The sequence below is a fragment of the Homo sapiens genome, chromosome 13 (assembly GCF_000001405.40).
Source record: "Homo sapiens chromosome 13, GRCh38.p14 Primary Assembly".
NCBI classification, from domain to species: Eukaryota; Metazoa; Chordata; class Mammalia; order Primates; family Hominidae; genus Homo; species Homo sapiens.
Genome location: NC_000013.11, coordinates 75,723,900 through 75,743,070, shown reverse-complemented (window position 1 = coordinate 75,743,070; position 19,171 = coordinate 75,723,900). Strand labels below are relative to the sequence as shown.

The window sequence follows — 19,171 nt, the reverse complement described above, 5'->3', positions numbered from 1 at the left end:
GTCTGCCCATGTCCTTTGCCCACTTTTTTGTGGGGTTGTTTTTTCTTGTACATTTGTTTAAGTTGCTGTGGATGCTGAATATTAGATCTTTGTCAGATGCATAGTTTGCAAAAATTTTCTCCCATTCTGTAGGTTGTCTGTTTACTCTGTTGATAGTTCCTTTTGCTGTGCAGAAGTTCTTTAGGTTAATTACATCCCATTTGTCAATTTTTGCTTTTGTTGCAATTGCTTTTGGCATCTTTGTCATGAAGTTTTTGCCCATGCCTATGTCCAGAATGTTATTGCCTAGGTTGTCTTCCACAATTTTTATAGTTTGTGGTTTTACATTCAAGTCTTTAATCCATCTTGAGTTAATTTTTGTATATGGTACAAGGAAAAGTTCCAGTTTCAATCTTCTGCATATGGCTAGCCAGTTATACCAGCACTATTTATTGAATAGGGAGTCCTTTCCTCATTGTTTGTTTTTGTCAGCTTTGTCAAAGATCAGATGGTTGTAAGTGTGCAGCCTTATTTCTGAGCCCTCTATTCTGTTCCATTGGTCTATGTGTCTGTTTTTGTACCATAACATGCTGTTTTGGCTACCATAGCCCTGTAGTATAGTTTGAGGTCAGGTAGTATGATGCCTCCAGCTTTATTCTTCTTGCTTAGAATTACCCTGGCTATTGGGGCTTTTTTGGTTTCATATTAAAAATTTTTTTTCCAGTTCTGTGAAGAATGTCATTGGTAGTTTGATAATAGCATTAAATCTATAATTTGCTTTGGGCAGTATGGCTATATTAATGATTTTGATTCTTCTAATTCATGAACATGAAATGTTTTTCCATTTATTTGTGTCATCTCTGATTTCTCTGATTTATCTAAGCAGTGTTTGGTAGTTCTCATTGTAGAGATCTTTCACGTCCCTGGTTAGCTGTATTCCTACGTATTTTATTCTTTTTGTGGCAACTGTGAATGGGACTGTGTTCCTAATTTGGCTCTAGGTAGGACTGTAGTTAACGTATAGGAATGCTAGATTTTTGTACATTGATTTTGTATCTTGAATCTTACCTGAAGTTGTTTAACAGCTTAAGGAGCTTTGGGGCCGAGACTATGCAGTTTTCTAGTTATAGAATCAAGTCATCTGCAAACAGGAATAGTTTGACTTCCTCTCTTTCTATTTGGATGCCACTTATTTCTCTTGATTGATTGCTCTGGCCAGGACTTCCAGTACTATGTTGAGTAGGAGTAGTAAGAGAGGGTATCCTTGTCTTGTATCAATTTTCAAGGGCAATGCTTCCAGCTTTTGCCCATTCAGTATGATGTCATCTCTGGGTTTGTCAAAGATGGCTCTTATTATTTTGAGGTATATTCCTTCTCTACCTAGTTTATTGAGAGTTTTAACATGAAGCAGTGTTGAATTTTATCAAAAGGCTTTTCTGTATCTATTGAGATAATCATGTGGTTTCTGCCTTTAGTTCTGTTTATGTGATGAATTACATTTATTGATTTGCCTATGTTGAACCAACCTTGCATCCTAGCAATAAAGCCTGCTTGATCATGGTAGATAAGCTATTTGATGTGCTGCTGGATTCAGTTTGCCGGTGTTTTGTTGAGGATTTTTGCATCGATGTTCATCAAGGACAATGGCCAGGAGTTTCCTTTTGAAAACATCAGTGTAAACTGACCTTATTTTTAGTAAATGGCTAAGTTTTATGCTATAAATTCTTACACAAGTAGAATAATACATTGATAATGGTAATACTATAGTACTCTCCTATGTCTTTATTTGGAAGAAAAAAATACTCCGTTTTTGTTATTGGTGTTTTGTTTTTAAGGAAATTGATGAGATTGACAAACTAGTAAAATAAGAACGTTTAAATGTTAGTGTTTGAAGCATTATGTCACAAATTGTGAGAGTGGCTCACCCTCCCTTTGAAATAAAAATATTTATTCAATGTAGTTTTAATAAAGAACCACAATTTAGCAGTTTTAATCAAATTTATTGATATCCTTTAACATTCACTGTCTCTATTAGGAAATGAAAGAAAAAGTTAAAAATCAAATATCTTTTAACTCAACGAAACACCAAGGTCTGATGCAACAGATATGAAATTGCTCCAATACACTGATAGGTGAAAAATAAATAAAAGTTAAAGACCATGATAATTTACAGAAATATACAGACTTCAATATTTATCTAATGTACCAAAAAACAAAAGCAGACTTGAGGCAGAAGTTGTGCCAGATCGTTGCTACAGGAGGGGACTTCAGTGTTGCCCCTCCACACCCTCCTTAAGTTGCAGAGGCTGTTTACATCCATCTGATGATGGAGGTCATGACAGCCAGAATCAGCCCAGTACCAATGCTGCTGTTAGTGACTAGGCATGTAATCAGGCAAGGATGAGGGAGTCACACAGAATTCACCCAGCAGAAACCTTTCTTAAATTTTCTAGGTAGATATTCTCCTCAAACAAATCTACAAAATCAGCAATAAAATTCCAGAAGAGAAAACAGACACTAATGATCTTACCTTTAAGTGGTTATTTTAAACTAGCTCTACAATACCACCTTCCCATCTCTTCCCATGTTGTTGCTTATATCAGTATTTTGCTTCTTTAATTTACGTTATTTATTGAAAGAGATGGAGTCTCACTCTGTCACCCAGGCTGGAGTGCAGTGATGCAATCATAGCTCATTGTAGCCTCAAACTCTTGAGCTCAAGCAATCCTCCCGCCTTGACCTCCCAGAGGGCTGGGATTACAGGCGTGAGTGACCAAACCCAGCCCCAGTGTTTTGTATACTTCAACATCCAAACATACTCACAAATGTCTGTCTTGCTTATTACCACTAGAGAGATACTCCCTCTGAGACACACATGCGGCTTGACCCAGCACAGAGCAACCCTCTGTATCACCACTCTTTCAAGCAAGGCACATATTGTCTGCTTATTCCTGTAACTCATCCAAGCCACATTCTAATATTCCTTAAGTATTTTCTCTTCAACCATACAAAATTCATTCCGGCCTCCTACTCAGAAAAGTGCTACCCTTGAATGAAAACAGTAATTATATTTGTACTTTTTATGTTATTTCAACTTAGATGAGAAAGAAGAGAAAAGAGAAGTGGGCTTTTTCCCCAAAAAAGTACTCTGTCTTGAGGTCTCATCTCTTGGTTTCAATTTTGGAAAGGGCCCACAAGCTCCAGGGTCCCACAAACCTCCCCTCTCCTCCTGAAGAGAGAATAAGTGGGGATAGGACAAACAGAGTCATGGCACAAGAATGATTTTTAGAAAAGTACAGGACAAAACTTGGGTAGAAATATTTAAATTATACAGCAGATTCCCCAGGTGAATTTTCTATTGCTGCTGGAAAGGAACAACCCGATGTGTCAGCAGTGATCACCACATAGAGCAGGTCACACTATTTTGCCGTGGGAGAGTGAGGGGAAGTGTGTAGGAGAGTAAAGATGAAAGAGTCAGAAGTAATTTCACACAGGTACAAGAACATTAGCCAATAAAAACTTTCCAGAAAATAGCAGTAAGAAGGGATGCATAGACTTGCCTTTTATTTATTTCCCTTGCCATTATGAAGGCAAGGGAAACTGACACATCCAACATCTTAAGCTAGCTGGCATCACTGCCCATTTCCTGCTTTCTACAGCATTCCTGAATGAGGAGACAATCTTCCCAGCCTCTATGGTCATGCCTTACACATTCTACTCCTGAAAGTAATCTGAAAGATGCTCAATTCAGCCCATATTTTTTACACAAATGTGAATATACTGAGGATTTTCCCACTGAGCCCACTGACACAGACATTCAGAGGAATTTGATTCAATCCAAATTTTCTAGAATATCTTTGCTTTTCAAAGGGAAATTAAAATGGAAAGCATGAGTAGGTAATCAAATCTACAGTCAGCCAGCCAAAGAGCCTGTGTAAAGGGCAGTGTTTAATTTCTTAATTCTTTAGCTCAGTAGTTCTCAATCAGGGATGATTTTATCCCATGGGAGTCACTGGCAATTTCAAGAGATATTTTTAACTGTCACAAATGGGGGAATGGCATCTAGTGAGTAGAGGCCAGGGATACTGCTCAAGATTCCACAATGCACACGACAGACCTCCACAACAAAGAATTATCTGGCCAAAGTGTCAACAGTGCCAAGGCTGAGAAACCTTGCTTTAGCTAAATGCAAATAAATCATGAGGGGTCCAGGCTGACTATAGGTTTTGGGGTTAATGACTTCCCTGATGTTTCTACACATTTTATATTTTGTGCACACTAACATATCAGATGGTAAACATTATTCTGGTTCAATAGCTCTTCTTACCATCAGGATATCTCACCTGTTTTTCAAGGTTTTGTTTTGAGATTGGGTTTTTTAAAAAAAATCCCAAATAAAGTTTTGGTTTTGAGTTTCAGTGATTTGAACATACCCACATTTAACAACAGCTATTCTTCTGGAAGACTCAAACTCTTGGGTTAGATTTTTTTAAAAAACATGGCTTTGTGAAGAACAGAAAGAAGAGATAGAGAACATGTATTTCTTTATAAAATTAAACTCAGCCAAGTGAGAAAAGCCCTATCTCTATAAGAAAAAAAAATCTAGGAAAACATGGTTACTGTCCTCCCAAAGAAAAAATAATTGCATGAATGTTTCAAGCAAAGCATTCAATATATTTCCAAACCATCTTAACATCTCTCTCTGTATTGCCATTGCTCAAGGGATATCTTCTATGGTTTTCCCACAGGTCCATATGCAAAAGGTAAATCCATTGCCCTGACACCGAAGCTAAATACACATGGTAGCTGAGGTTACTTGGATGAAAAGCATAACTATAGCAAAGGATGTAAGAAAGGAGTAATGGAAGATGGGGTGTGGAACACCGTAACAACTCAGCTTAAACCCTTACACAGAAATTTTTACTATATTTGAATCGCCTTGGTGAATCTACCTTACACAAACCTCCTTCACAGTACCCACGTCAACCTGAACTGAATGAGCCAAAAAAAAAACAACACTCCTGACCACAGCTCATTTGGCCAAGACGACTGTCTTCTTATGGAACTCATCCACAGGCTGGCCAGTGACCTGGGATATCTGTAGCCTTCAAAGAAAAGGAATCCATTCAGATTCCTCTTTGGGAACCTCAACTAAGAGACACCAAAAAAATTCTGCTGGAAATGGGGAAAACTGGGTGAAGAGTACAGAGGACATTTTTGTACTGTGTTTTTTTTTTTTTTTTTTTTTTGGCAGCTTCCTGTGAATCTATATTTATTTCAAAGTAAAAAGTTTTTTTTTTTTTTTTTTTATTTTATTTTATTTTATTTTTTTTTTTTTTGAGACGGAGTCTCGCTCTGTCGCCCAGGCTGGAGTGCAGTGGCGCGATCTCGGCTCACTGCAAGCTCCGCCTCCCAGGTTCACGCCATCCTCCTGCCTCAGCCTCCCGAGTAGCTGGGACTACAGGCGCCCGCTACCACGCCCGGCTAATTTTTTGTATTTTTAGTAGAGACGGGGTTTCACCGTGTTAGCCAGGATGGTCTCGATCTCCTGACCTCGTGATCCGCCCGCCTCGGCCTCCCAGAGTGCTGGGATTACAGGCGTGAGCCACCGCGCCCGGCCAAGTTTTTTTTTTTTTAAAAAAGGTATTAACTAAAACATGTACCTATCTGTATTAATTTCCTAGAGCTATATTTGGTACTTTGTTCCTTTTGGAACAAACCAGGTGGCTTAAGGCAACAAAGATTTTTTGTCTTACAATTCTGGATGCTACAAGTCCAAAATCAAGGTGTTAGCAAAGCCACACTCCCTATGAAATCTATGATTTGCCAGCAATCGCAGGTGTTCTCTGGCTTGTAGATGCATCACTCCAATCCTATCTTTATATGGCATTCTTCCTGTGTGTCTGTGTTTTCACAGGCCATCTTTTTAGAAGGACACCAGTCATATTAAGATTAGGGGCCCTCCTTACCCCAGTATGAGCTCATTATAACTAGTTATATCATCTCCAACAACTCTATTCCCAAATAAGATCACACTCTAAGGTACTGGGGCTTAGGACTTCAATATATTTAATTTTGGGGTTGGGGGGAACAATTCAACCTATAGCACTATCCCATCAAAGACCCAATTCTAGAATCTATTATTTTTCACAATGGAAATCTTGTTCATTCATTTCTTTAAAAAACCTTTGATCTCCTATATGTATCAGTCACTATGCTAGATGCTGTGAACACAAAAATGGCTAGTATGACAAGTCTGGCTCAGATTATTCATTCTTCTTCTGGAAGTGTCAACTAAGGCTTCTAACATCCTCCTCCTCAAGGAATCCTTAGAGGTCAGTCTTCACAGTTCCCCTACAACTGCTCATGGACATGCAGCAAATGTCACAGTCCACTGTAATGCTCTGTGGCACATTTATTACGTGATGCTTTCTTGCTTGTTTGCTAATTTATTTGCCTTGTCGTCCCTCCTTCACTAGAATGTAAACTCTTTGAGATCATGGTTTGTGACTTCTTTGTTCCTCTGATACGCAGCTGTAAACTAGAAAAATCTTCAACCTAGTAGGCATTCAATTATTTATTTAAAAAACAAACATTCTTTGACTATCTGCATGTCAGACCATCTGTATATTATCCTTTTAGTCCTCATAACAACCCTTCCAGGCATCTGCTGGAGCCCTAATTCATACTTGGAATTAAGGCTTTGAAAAGTTTTAATATAACCATCCTGACAAACAGGCATCAGAAGGAGTCAAGTGAGGCATGATGACAACTTTAAACCAATTGGGCTTAGCCCAGTTCTGCAGCTGTGGTCACTCTTATGCTCCTATAGCCAATTGAAAATGCTCAGTGTCCTGTATTCGAAAAATATTCCTATTTAATATACCGGAAACACAGTTCACTTTAATTTCTAAAGATAAAATCTAAACTAGATAGAATTTCTGAAGCTTGAAATAGAAATACTTGGAGAGATCTTTGAATTTAAAAATAAAATACATTTGTGCTTTCATATAATCATACGATCAGAAAATTGAATAAAACCTCCACTGGCCAACAACAACAAACCACTACAATTCGAGCATTCCAAATATGCAGGGTGTTTGAGATCAAAGTCTAATTTGCTTTAAAATGCATGTAATTGATCCAAGAAATGACAATTTTAAATTAAAGCAATAAGCTATTTAATTCAAGCCATTTGAAAAAATATTTTCAATACTATTGAAACTTACTATTAAAAGTATATTATATAATAATAAGTTATTTTATAAGTCATTTTTATATAAAGCTTATTTGTTTTATTAAACTGAATATTTCCTCCAAGAAAGCGCAGTGGCTCACGCTTGTAATTCCAGCACTTTGGGAGGCCGAGGCGGGCAAATCCCAAGGTCAGGAGATCAAGACTACCCGGGCCAACGTGGTGAAACCCTGTCTCTACTAAAAAAAAATACAAAAAAAAAAAAAAATTAGCTGCGTGTGGTGCCGCGCGCCTGTAGTCCCAGCTACTCAGGAAGCTGAGGCAGGGGAATCGCTTCAACCCAGAAGGCGGAGTTTGCAGGGAGCCAAGATCACCCCACTGCTCTCCAGCCCAGCGACAGAGTGAGACTCCATCTCAAAAAAATTTTAAAACAGACTTCAAAAACTAAATTTTTTTCATTTTATTCCTTAAATAACAAACCTCTTCTGACTCACTGTATTACTAGTAGAAAGTTGTGTGTGTGTGTGTGTGTATACAAATACACACAGAACCCACCAATCTTAGGTGTTCTCCCATTTTTGGAAAGGGCTCACAAGCTCCAGGGTCCTACAAACCTCCCCTCTCCTCCTGAAGAGGGGGTGAGTGGGGGTGGGACAAGTAGAGTCACAGCATGAGAATGATTTTTAGAGAAGTACAGGATAAAACTTGGGTAGAAATATTTAAATTGTAAAGCTCCATGTGTATGTACATACATACACACACACACACACACACACACACGTAATTTTTTTTTTTTTTTGAGACGGAGTCTCGCTCTGTCGCACAGGCTGGAGTTCAGTGGCGTGATCTCGGCTAACTGCAAGCTCCACCTCCTGGGTTCACACCATTCTCCTGCCTCAGCCTCCCCAGCAACTGGGACTACAGGCACACAGAGCCATACCTGGCTAATTTTTGTATTTTTAGTAGAGACAGGGTTTCACCGTGTTAGCCAGGATGGTCGTCATCTCCTGACCTTGTGATCCGCCCGCCTTGGCCTCCCAAAGTGCTGGGATTAAAGGCGTGAGCCACCACACCCGGCCTATATAATTTGAAACCACTAAAATTATTAGGTCAGCTGTCTATTAATGATAGATATAGAATGGAGGCAACTTGGTAGGAAGGAAGGAATTAATATTTGAGCCCAGCTGCTCTGGGAACTTTATGTATATTTTATTTTGAAATAAAATTATTAAAAATTTTTCATTCCTTCTCTCCTAGACAGATATTTTCTGAGAAACACTCTGCAACCAACACCCTTATCAAGAATTTAATGACATTTTCATAACTTGTGCAAATCCAGAAATTTTGGTATTGCTAACTTTAATTACCCATGCCTTTAACATCTGTAAACACATGAATGGTCAAACAGAAGCTTCCTGAATGCACTATAAACAGCATGAATAGTGTAAAAATAGTAAGGTTTCTGTTTACATTCTAATTATTAGCTATCTTAAACTTCAGAGTTTTCTGAAGTTGACTTAACAGACTCCTATCATTGCAATGATTTTTAAGGATTTCTAACATTTTAAAAATTATCCATCATTTGTATTTGATTGTAAATTATTTCCACAGACAACGCCCCGCATTATTATTGTCCTCTGAAATGTCTTACCCCGTCTGAGTAGCTACCTTGGGACAGTGTGGGGTATATTTTATACACAAAATCCTGATTTGAAAGCTAGAAAGAACCTACAGAACCATCACATTCATTTTATGGGTAATATTATTGTGGCAAAGAGAAAGACAGAGACTTGTGCAACCTCACACAGGACTTTGGTGGGAAACCTATTACATAAAGTAACAGAGTTAGCAGGCCTTGACTATTTTGGAAATGCACTTAGGATCTGTGTGCTGGCTGAGGGTAATGCACAAGCATCATGTGGCAGAAACATAACAACTGGTGCACATCTCGCAGTCTGGGCCACCATTGTGGTAGCCAGCAAACAGCGCACACAGGGCTGAGCTTCAGAAGGTGACCCTGAACAAATGCAATTTGTGGAAGAAATAAGCCAGGAAAGGAAACATATGAAGTTTGAGGGCACAAACATCAAAACAAACAAGCAATTAAAAATTAAAATAAGGGAGGAGCCAAGATGGCCGAATAGGAACAGCTCAAGTCTACAGCTCCCAGCATGAGCGACGCAGAAGACGGGTGATGTCTGCATTTCCATCTGCAGTACCGTGTTCATCTCACTAGGGAGTGCCAGACAGTGGGCGCAGGACAGTGGGTGCAGTGCACGATGCATGAGCCAAAGCAGGGCGAGGCATTGCCTCACTCGGGAAGCGCAAGGGGTCAGGGAGTTCCCTTTCCTAGTCAAAGAAAGGGGTGACAGATGGTACCTGGAAAATCGGGTCACTCCCACCTCAATACTGTGCTTTTCCGACGGGCTTAAAAAACGGCGCACCAGGAGATTATATCCCACACCTGGCTCGGAGGGTCCTACGCCCACGGAGTCTTGCTGATTGCTAGCACAGCAGTCTGAGATCAAACTGCAAGGCAGCAGTGAGGCTGGGGGAGGGGCGCCCGCCATTGCCCAGGCTTGCTTAGGTAAACAAAGCAGTTGGGAAGCTCAAACTGGGTGGAGCCCACCACAGCTCAAGAAGGCCTGCCTGCCTCTGTAGGCTCCACCTCTGGGGGCAGGGCACAGACAAACAAAAAGACAGCAGTAACCTCTGCAAACTTAAATGTCCCTGTCTGACAGCTTTGAAAAGAGCAGTGGTTCTCCCAGCACGCAGCTGGAGATCTGAGAACGGGGAGACTGCCTCCTCAAGTGGGTCCCTGACCCCTGACCCCCGAGCAGTCTAACTGGGAGGCACCCCCCAGTAGGGGCAGACTGACACCTCACATGGCTGGGAACTCCTCTGAGACAAAACTTCCAGAGGAACGATCAGACAGCAGCATTCGCGGTTCACGAAAATCAGCTGTTCTGCAGACACCGCTGCTGATACCCAGGCAAACAGGGTCTGGAGTGGACCTCTAGCAAACTCCAACAGACCTGCAGCTGAGGGTCCTGTCTGTTAGAAGGAAAACTAACAAACAGAAAGGACATCCACACCAAAAACCCATCTGTACATCACCATCATCAAAGACCAAAAGCCGACAAAACCACAAAGATGGGGAAAAAACAGCAGAAAAACTGGAAACTCTAAAAAGCAGAGCGCCTCTCCTCCTCCAAAGAAACGCAGTTCCTCACCAGCAATGGAACAAAGCTGGACAGAGAATGACTTTGACGAGTTGAGAGAAGAAGGCTTCAGACAATCAAACTACTCCGAGCTACAGGAGGAAAGTCAAACCAAAGGCAAAGAAGTTGAAAACTTTGAAAAAAATTTAGACGAATGTATAACTAGAATAACCAATACAGAGAAGAGCTTAAAGGAGCTGATGGAGCTGAAAGCCAAGGCTCGAGAACTACGTGACGAACGCAGAAGCCTCAGGAGCTGATGCGATCAACTGGAAGAAAGGGTATCAGTGATGGAAGATGAAATGAATGAAATGAAGCAAGAAGGGAAGTTTAGAGAAAAAAGAATAAAAAGAAACAAACAAAGCGTCCAAGAAATATGGGACTATGTGAAAAGACCAAATCTATGTCTGACTGGTGTACCTGAAAGTGACGGGGAGAATGGAACCAAGTTGGAAAACACTCTGCAGGATATTATCCAGGAGAACTTCCCCAATCTAGCAAGGCAGGCCAACATTCAGATTCAGGAAATACAGAGGACGCCACAGAGATACTCCTCGAGAAGAGCAACTCTAAGACACATAATTGTCAGATTCACTAAAGTTGAAATGAAGGAAAAAATGTTAAGGGCAGCCAGAGAGAAAGGACGGGTTACCCACAAAGGGAAACCCATCAGACTAACAGCGGATCTGTCAGCAGAAACTCTACAAGCCAGAAGAGAGTGGGGGCCAATATTCAACACTCTTAAAGAATTTTCAACCCAGAATTTCATATCCAGCCAAACTAAGCTTCATAAGCGAAGGAGAAATAAAATACTTTACAGACAAGCAAATGCTGAGAGATTTTGTCACCACCAGGCCTGCCCTAAAAGAGCTCCTGAAGGAAGCGCTAAACATGGAAAGGAACAACTGATACCAGCCGCCACAAAATCATGCCAAAATGTAAAGACCATCGAGACTAGGAAGAAACTACATCAACTAACGAGCAAAATAACCAGCTAACATCATAATGACAGGTTCAAATTCACACATAACAATATTAACTTTAAATGTAAATGGACTAAATGCTCCAATTAAAAGACACAGACTGGCAAATTGGATAAAGAGTCAAGACCCATCAGTGTGCTGTATTCAGGAAACCCATCTCACATGCAGAGACACACATAGGCTCAAAATAAAAGAATGGAGGAAGATCTACCAAGCAAATGGAAAACAAAAAAAGGCAGGGGTTGAAATCTCAGTCTCTGATGAAACAGACTTTAAACCAACACAGATCAAAAGAGACAAAGAAGGCCATTACATAATGGTAAAGGGATCAATTCAACAAGAAGAGCTAACTATCCTAAATATATATGCACCCAATACAGGAGCACCCAGACTCATAAAGCAAGTCCTGAGTGACCAACAAAGAGACTTAGACTCCCACACAATAGTAATGGGAGACTTTAACACCCCACTGTCAACATTAGGCAGATCAACGAGACAGAAAGTCAACAAGGATACCCAGGAATTGAACTCGGCTCTGCACCAGGCGGACCTAATAGACATCTACGGAACTCTCCACCCCAAATCAACAGAATATACATTTTTTTCAGCACCACACCACACCTATTCCAAAATTGACCACATAGTTGGAAGTAAAGCTCTCCTCAGCAAATGTAAAAGAACAGAAATTATAACAAACTGTCTCTCAGACCACAGGGCAATCAAACTAGAACTCAGGATTAAGAAACTCACTCAAAACCGCTCAACTACATGGAAACTGAACAACCTGCTCCTGAATGACTACTGGGTACATAACGAAATGAAGGCAGAAATAAAGATGTTCTTTGAAACCAACGAGAACAAAGACACAACATACCAGAATCTCTGAGACACATTCAAAGCAGTGTGTAGAGGGAAATTTATAGCACTAAATGCCCACAAGAGAAAGCAGGAAAGATCCAAAATTGACACCCTAACATCACAATTAAAAGAACTAGAAAAGCAAGAGCAAACACATTCAAAAGCTAGCAGAAGGCAAGAAATAACTAAAATCAGAGCAGAACTGAAGGAAATAGAGACACAAAAAACCCTTCAAAAAATTAATGAATCCAGGAGCTGGTTTTTTGAAAGGATCAACAAAATTGATAGACCGCTAGCAAGACTAATAAAGGAAAAAAGAGAGAAGAATCAAATAGACGCAACAAAAAATGATAAAGGGGATATCACCACTGATCCCACAGAAATACAAACTACCATCAGAGAATACTACAAAACCCTCTACGCAAATAAACTAGAAAATCTAGAAGAAATGGATAAATTCCTGGACACATACACTCTCCCAAGACTAAACCAGGAAGAAGTTGAATCTCTGAACAGACCAATAACAGGATCTGAAGTTGTGGCAATAATTAATAGCTTACCAACCAAAAAGAGTCCAGGACCAGATGGATTCACAGCCAAATACTACCAGAGGTACAAGGAGGAACTGGTACCATTCCTTCTGAAACTATTCCAATCAACAGAAAAAGAGGGAATCCTCCCTAACTCATTTGATGAGGCCAGCATCATCCTGATACCAAAGCCTGGCAGAGACACAACCAAAAAAGAGAATTTTAGACCAATATCCTTGATGAACGTTGATGCAAAAATCCTCAATAAAATACTGGCAAACCGAATCCAGCAGCACATCAAAAAGCTTATCCACCATGATCAAGTGGGCTTCATCCCTGGGATGCAAGGCTGGTTCAATATATGCAAATCAATCAATGTAATCCAGCATATAAACAGAACCAAAGACAAAAACCACATGATTATCTCAATAGATGCAGAAAAGGCCTTTGACAAAATTCAACAACCCTTCATGCTAAAAACTCTCAATAAATTAGGTATTGATGGGACATATCTCAAAATAATAAGAGCTATCTATGACAAACCCACAGACAATATCATAATGAATGGGCAAAAACTGGAAGCATTCCCTTTGAAAACTGGCAGAAGACAGGGATGACCTCTCTCACCACTCCTATTCAACATAGTGTTGGAAGTTCTGGCCAGGGCAATTAGGCAGGAGAAGGAAATAAAGGGTATTCAATTAGGAAAAGAGGAAGTCAAATTGTCCCTGTTTGCAGATGACATGATTGTATATTTAGAAAACCCCATCATCTCAGCCCAAAATCTCCTTAAGCTGATAAGCAACTTCAGCAAAGTCTCAGGATACAAAATCAATGTGCAAAAATCACAAGCATTCTTATACACCAATAACAGACAAACAGAGAGCCAAATCATGAGTGAACTCCCATTCACAATTGCTTCAAAGAGAATAAAATACCTAGGAATCCAACTTACAAGGGATGTGAAGGACCTCTTCAAGGAGAACTACAAACCACTGCTCAATGAAATAAAAGAGGATACAAACAAATGGAAGAACATTCCATGCTCATGGATAGGAAGAATCAATATCGTGAAAATGGCCATACTGCCCAAGGTAATTTATAGATTCAATGCCATCCCCATCAAGCTACCAATGACTTTCTTCACAGAATTGGAAAAAACTACTTTAAAGTTCATATGGAACCAAAAAAGAGCCCGCATCACCAAGTCAATCCTAAGCCAAAAGAACAAAGCTGGAGGCATCACGCTACCTGACCTCAAACTATACTACAAGGCTATAGTAACTCAAAACAGCATGGTACTGCTACCAAAACAGAGATATAGACCAATGGAACAGAACAGAGCCCTGAGAAATAATGCTGCATATCTACAACTATCTGATCTTTGACAAACCTGAGAAAAACAAGCAATGGGGAAAGGATTCCCTATTTAATAAATGGTGCTGGGAAAACTGGCTAGCCATATGTAGAAAGCTGAAACTGGATCCCTTCCTTACACCTTATACAAAAATTAATTCAAGATGGATTAAAGACTTAAACGTTAGACCTAAAACCATAAAAACCCTAGAAGAAAACCTAGGCATTACCATTCAGGATATAGGCATGGGCAAGGACTTCATGTCTAAAACACAAAAAGCAATGGCAACAAAAGCCAAAATTGACAAATGGGATCTAATTAAACTAAAGAGCTTCTGCACAGCAAAAGAAACTACCATCAGAGTGAACAGGCAACCTACAAAATGGGAGAAAATTTTCACAACCTACTCATCTGACAAAGGGCTAATATCCAGAATCTACAATGAACTCAAACAAATTTACAAGAAAAAAAACAAACAACCCCATCAAAAAGTGGGCGAAGGACATGGACAGACACTTCTCAAAAGAAGACATTTATGCAGCCAAAAGACACATGAAAAAATACTCATCATCACTGGCCATCACAGAAATGCAAATCAAAACCACAATGAGATACCACCTCACACCAGTTAGAATGGCAATCATTAAAAAGTCAGGAAACAACAGGTGCTGGAGAAGATGTGGAGAAATAGGAACACTTTTACACTGTTGGTGGGACTGTAAACTAGTTCATCCATTGTGGAAGTCAGTGTGGCGATTCCTCAGGGATCTAGAACGAGAAATACCATTTGACCCAGCAATCCCATTACTGGGTATATACCCAAAGGATTATAAATCATGCTGCTATAAAGACACATGCACATGTGTTTATTGCGGCACTATTCACAACAGCAAAGACTTGGAACCAACCCAAATGTCCAACAATGATAGACTGGATTAAGAAAATGTGGCACATATACACCAGGGAATACTATGCAGCCATAAAAAATGATGCGTTCATGTCCTTTGTAGGGACATGGATGAAACTGGAAACCATCATTCTCAGTAAACTATCGCAAGGACAAAAAACCAAACACCGCATGTTCTCACTCAAAGGTGGGAATTGAACAATGAGAACACATGGACACAGGAAGGGGAACATCACACTCTGGGGACTGTTGTGGGGTTGGGGGAGGGGGGAGGGATAGCATTAGGAGATATACCTAATGCTAAATGACGAGTTAATGGGTGCAGCACACCAGCATGGCACATGTATACATATGTAACTAACCTGCACGTTGTGCACATGTACCCTAAAACTTAAAGTATAATAATAATAAAAAAAGAGAAAAAAGCAAAGTATAGGCAATACATGTGCTACCATTTATCTAAAATTATATATACATAAGTACATATTATATGTTTATTTGTAAATTAAATTTTTCTGAAATGATACAGGAGAAAATAGGAAACATGGATCTGAGGTAGAAGGTATTCGTACTTTGTATATATTTTGATGTTGAAATTTTCTACTATATACATGCATTTTTCATTTTTAAAATTAGCAATTTAGTTTAGAAATTAGTAACCACTAAAACACAAGTATGTCATCTATATCATTTGTGCCATTTAAATATACATCTAGTTTTTCTTATTAAATAAATAAATAAATAAATAAAAGCCTCCAGGCAAAAGGGAAACAGAGAAAGGAACTGCAGATAAAAGGAGGACATCACCAAACACACTTTGCTTCAGCAAAAAAACCATAACCTAATTTCAGTGGTAATTGCAGATACAAAAATCTGCCTATGCCCACCTCTTTACATTTCAAAGACAAATAAATTTAGTTGTGAAGATAATTTACTACTTACCAATCCTGCTATTGGTGTAGACAGTCTATTGATCTTCTTAATGACGCCAGGTTTAAGCTTATTAATCAAACTGAAAGTAAATAAATAACAGATGCAATTACAAGATGCCAATATCAGGTTTTTTGTTAGCATTCTCAAAAATCACATATATCACTATTCCCTCCCCTCAATGTGTTATACAGAGAGCCAACAGCCCATCAAAAAGCAAATAACCAAGATATCAAGTCTAGAGACAAAGAAGAGCACCACACACAATGGTGAGTTGTTCTCCATAGTCTATATCCTTTATGTGGAGACACAGACCCACTTCTATATCCAAAGCCATCCTTCAAAGAGTTAGTTTCACATTAAAGAAAAGTAATATTTCGTTCTGCTTCAACTGCCAGTTTAAGAATCTCTTCATCATAATTTATCTCACTTCACCCAAAGAATACTATTTTCTACTAATAGTTTTCATTGATTGTTTTTCTCAAACTGATCATTTTTAAAGGTAGCTTCAAAATCATATTATTTTGCCACATTTAAAAGGTGAGCTGGACTCATACAAATAGTGAACTAGTTTTTATTGGTAACTCATTCAAGTCCATAATTGATTGCTTTATTACCGCAGCAGAACGACTGGGCAAACATTAAATTCAATGTACCAGAACTCCCCCAAATTAACTAAGTTACCTCAGAATCTAGTATTTTAGATTAAACAGAACCAGTTTAAGTTAATATGGAAGACACTGCAAAGATATCTATGTCTGCCAACTCTATAAAAAAGAAACTCAGCTTTGACAACTGAAACTTGAGTACGATTTTGCTTCTAAATCTAGATTATTATGAATTCTTTTTTCTTGATTTGTTCACTGACACTGTGCCAGGTTGCGTAGAAATTTAATACTATAAAAATGCTTTTCTATTAATGTTAGCTTGGTTAATTAATCATTAATCACTGTCAGAGAACAATATCTTGAAACTAATTTTCCTATTCAAAAACCCATCCACAAGAACTAATTTTTTAGGCTGTAACAGAGCTCCAAAAAGAAAGCAAATAAAGGAGAAATCATTAAACATTCTTAATTTACTGGTCTCCTTAGCACAATGGGCAGCAAAAAAAAAAAAAAATCTGAAGCCTGTGGAATGTCACTCCTTCAACATTCCAAAGACTTATATATACACACTTGAGTTTGCTGGAAATAAAAAAAGACAAAAGTCTTGATTTAATAACCTACAGAATGTTGTTCAACAGGATTCAAAATTATAAAACAGTGGCTTATGAAGATCTAGTTTGGTGAACAAAGATGTTTTCCTGTTTTCATGGTTTCTACACACAAAGATCATTAGACAAGTTAGTTAATATAGTTAATAATACCATTCTCTCAACGCAATTTCCTAGAACAATTATTCCATGATACCTAATTTCTGATTTGTACACAGAAAGCCAAGTAGAAAGCAAAGCTTTCTCCCTTCATGTCCACATGATTTTTTTCTTAATCACTAGCTGAGGAGTCAGAAAAGAATTGAGTAAGTTTATAAGAAATAACAATTGCAAATTAATTCTTCTAGTTGTTCCCTATTAACAAGGTATTTCTATATTTCTGTTACTGGTGGCATTCTTGCAATGCATAGAAGAACTAGTAACTGTAGCATTACTGAATAGGAACATAATTCTGGAAAGTATAAATCAAGAAATTATTTGCAGTTTGTGAGCACTAGCTCAGCACTGACTTATAGTAACGTGTATTTTGAAATTTGATCTTTAAATGACATAAATTAGAGGCCATTATGAGCTGAGGCAACATATAAAATGTCAGGAAAGTCTGGCAGGAGGAAGAGTATCATAAATTTCTGCTCCACCTATTTGAGTCACTGGTGACTTTGGCCAGGTCATTCAGTTAACCTGTTTATATCACATACCATTTTTATATTACAGGTTTCATAAGAGAAAGTACATTTAAAAAAAATACAGTTTCTGGAATTAATAATAGCACAACCTACTCTCAATTTGGTCAGCCAAGGGAAGTAAGAGATACAGGTAAAGGAAATAGAAAAGATAAATGATGTCTCCCAATAATGAGTTAATTAACACTTCCCTCATCAGAAGGTTCAAAGCTATTACTTAGAAGTGACAGACACACAATGGATTAGCATTCCTTTTCCACCCTAAACCTTCAAGTACATGTGCAAACACGGAAATGAGCTGAGGAAAAAACAATAATCTGAATAACACACAAAGTAGCCTCTAAAAAATTGAGTCACTAAAGGAAAACTCTGTTTTATTTTGTTAGTAGTCACAATTCTAAGGACTACAAGACGGAGAAAAGACACATATAGTCTTGGCAAATACTGAACACCCATTAAATTTTGAATCATCAAAAATTATTTTCATATAAAATTAAAGGAAACCCTTTTAGAATAGTTCTTCTAAGGAGAAAAACAATGGGTCTTATAAAATCTAAACTTCTGTGAAATTTAAGTCTGCCTAGAGGATTAGGGGCATAGCCTTATGTCAAATCAAAAACAAGTATCATCTATGGAAATACTCTTCTACAAATAGAACTTCTTTGCATAATAAGCAATCTTCAATCACACATATGGAATTCCTAAGGTAACACTGGCTTCAGGTAACTGATTCTATTCAAGATTCAGATAACATAATAACCTTCCAGATACCTCTATGTACTAGGATCTAGAATCAGTCAAGGAGCCATTTTTTCAGCCTGTATTCCCTTGTTCCATCCCTCTAGCCCTAGGTAGAATTCTCTCTCTCTTCCCCCAAGACTTTCCCTAGGCCAGAGCCTAAACCTGGTTATGTGCTTGGTTAGTACAGCAGAGGCTTGCTCTTTTGGTAGGATTAAAACCAGAAGGAAGCACCTAGTAATCTGACAGTTCCCAAGTCAGAGCATTCACAGTTTTGGCCTGCAATTTCTCTCCTTCTCCTTCAGCTCATCCCTTGCTAGGATCTGAATGTTGGAATTCCTCCCAAACCTCATACTTTGAAATCCTAACCCTGAAAGTAACAGTACTAGGAGGTGGAGCCCCTGGAAGGTGATTAGGTCATGAGAGTAGAACCCTCATGAATGGGATTAGGTCCCTCATAAAAGAGGCTCCTGAAAGCTGCCTTGCCCCTTCCACAACAAGAGGTTGCAGTGAGAAGTCTGTCTATGAAGGAAGCAGGTCCTCACTATATGCCAAATATGCCAGTGCCATGATC

The 19,171-nt window shown here is 38.8% G+C and overlaps 1 protein-coding gene across 29 annotated transcripts in view; it reads right to left on the bottom strand.

The window, feature by feature from the left end:
• LMO7 (LIM domain 7) overlaps nucleotides 1-19,171 on the bottom strand; it is a 239,437-nt gene that overhangs the window by 116,800 nt on the left and 103,466 nt on the right. For all 29 annotated transcript variants that reach the window (NM_005358.5, XM_047430323.1, XM_047430329.1 and 26 more), the window contains one exon: nucleotides 15,973-16,042. In NM_005358.5, coding sequence (NP_005349.3) covers nucleotides 15,973-16,042 — 70 coding nt within the window. The remainder of the gene's footprint in view (nucleotides 1-15,972; nucleotides 16,043-19,171) is intronic.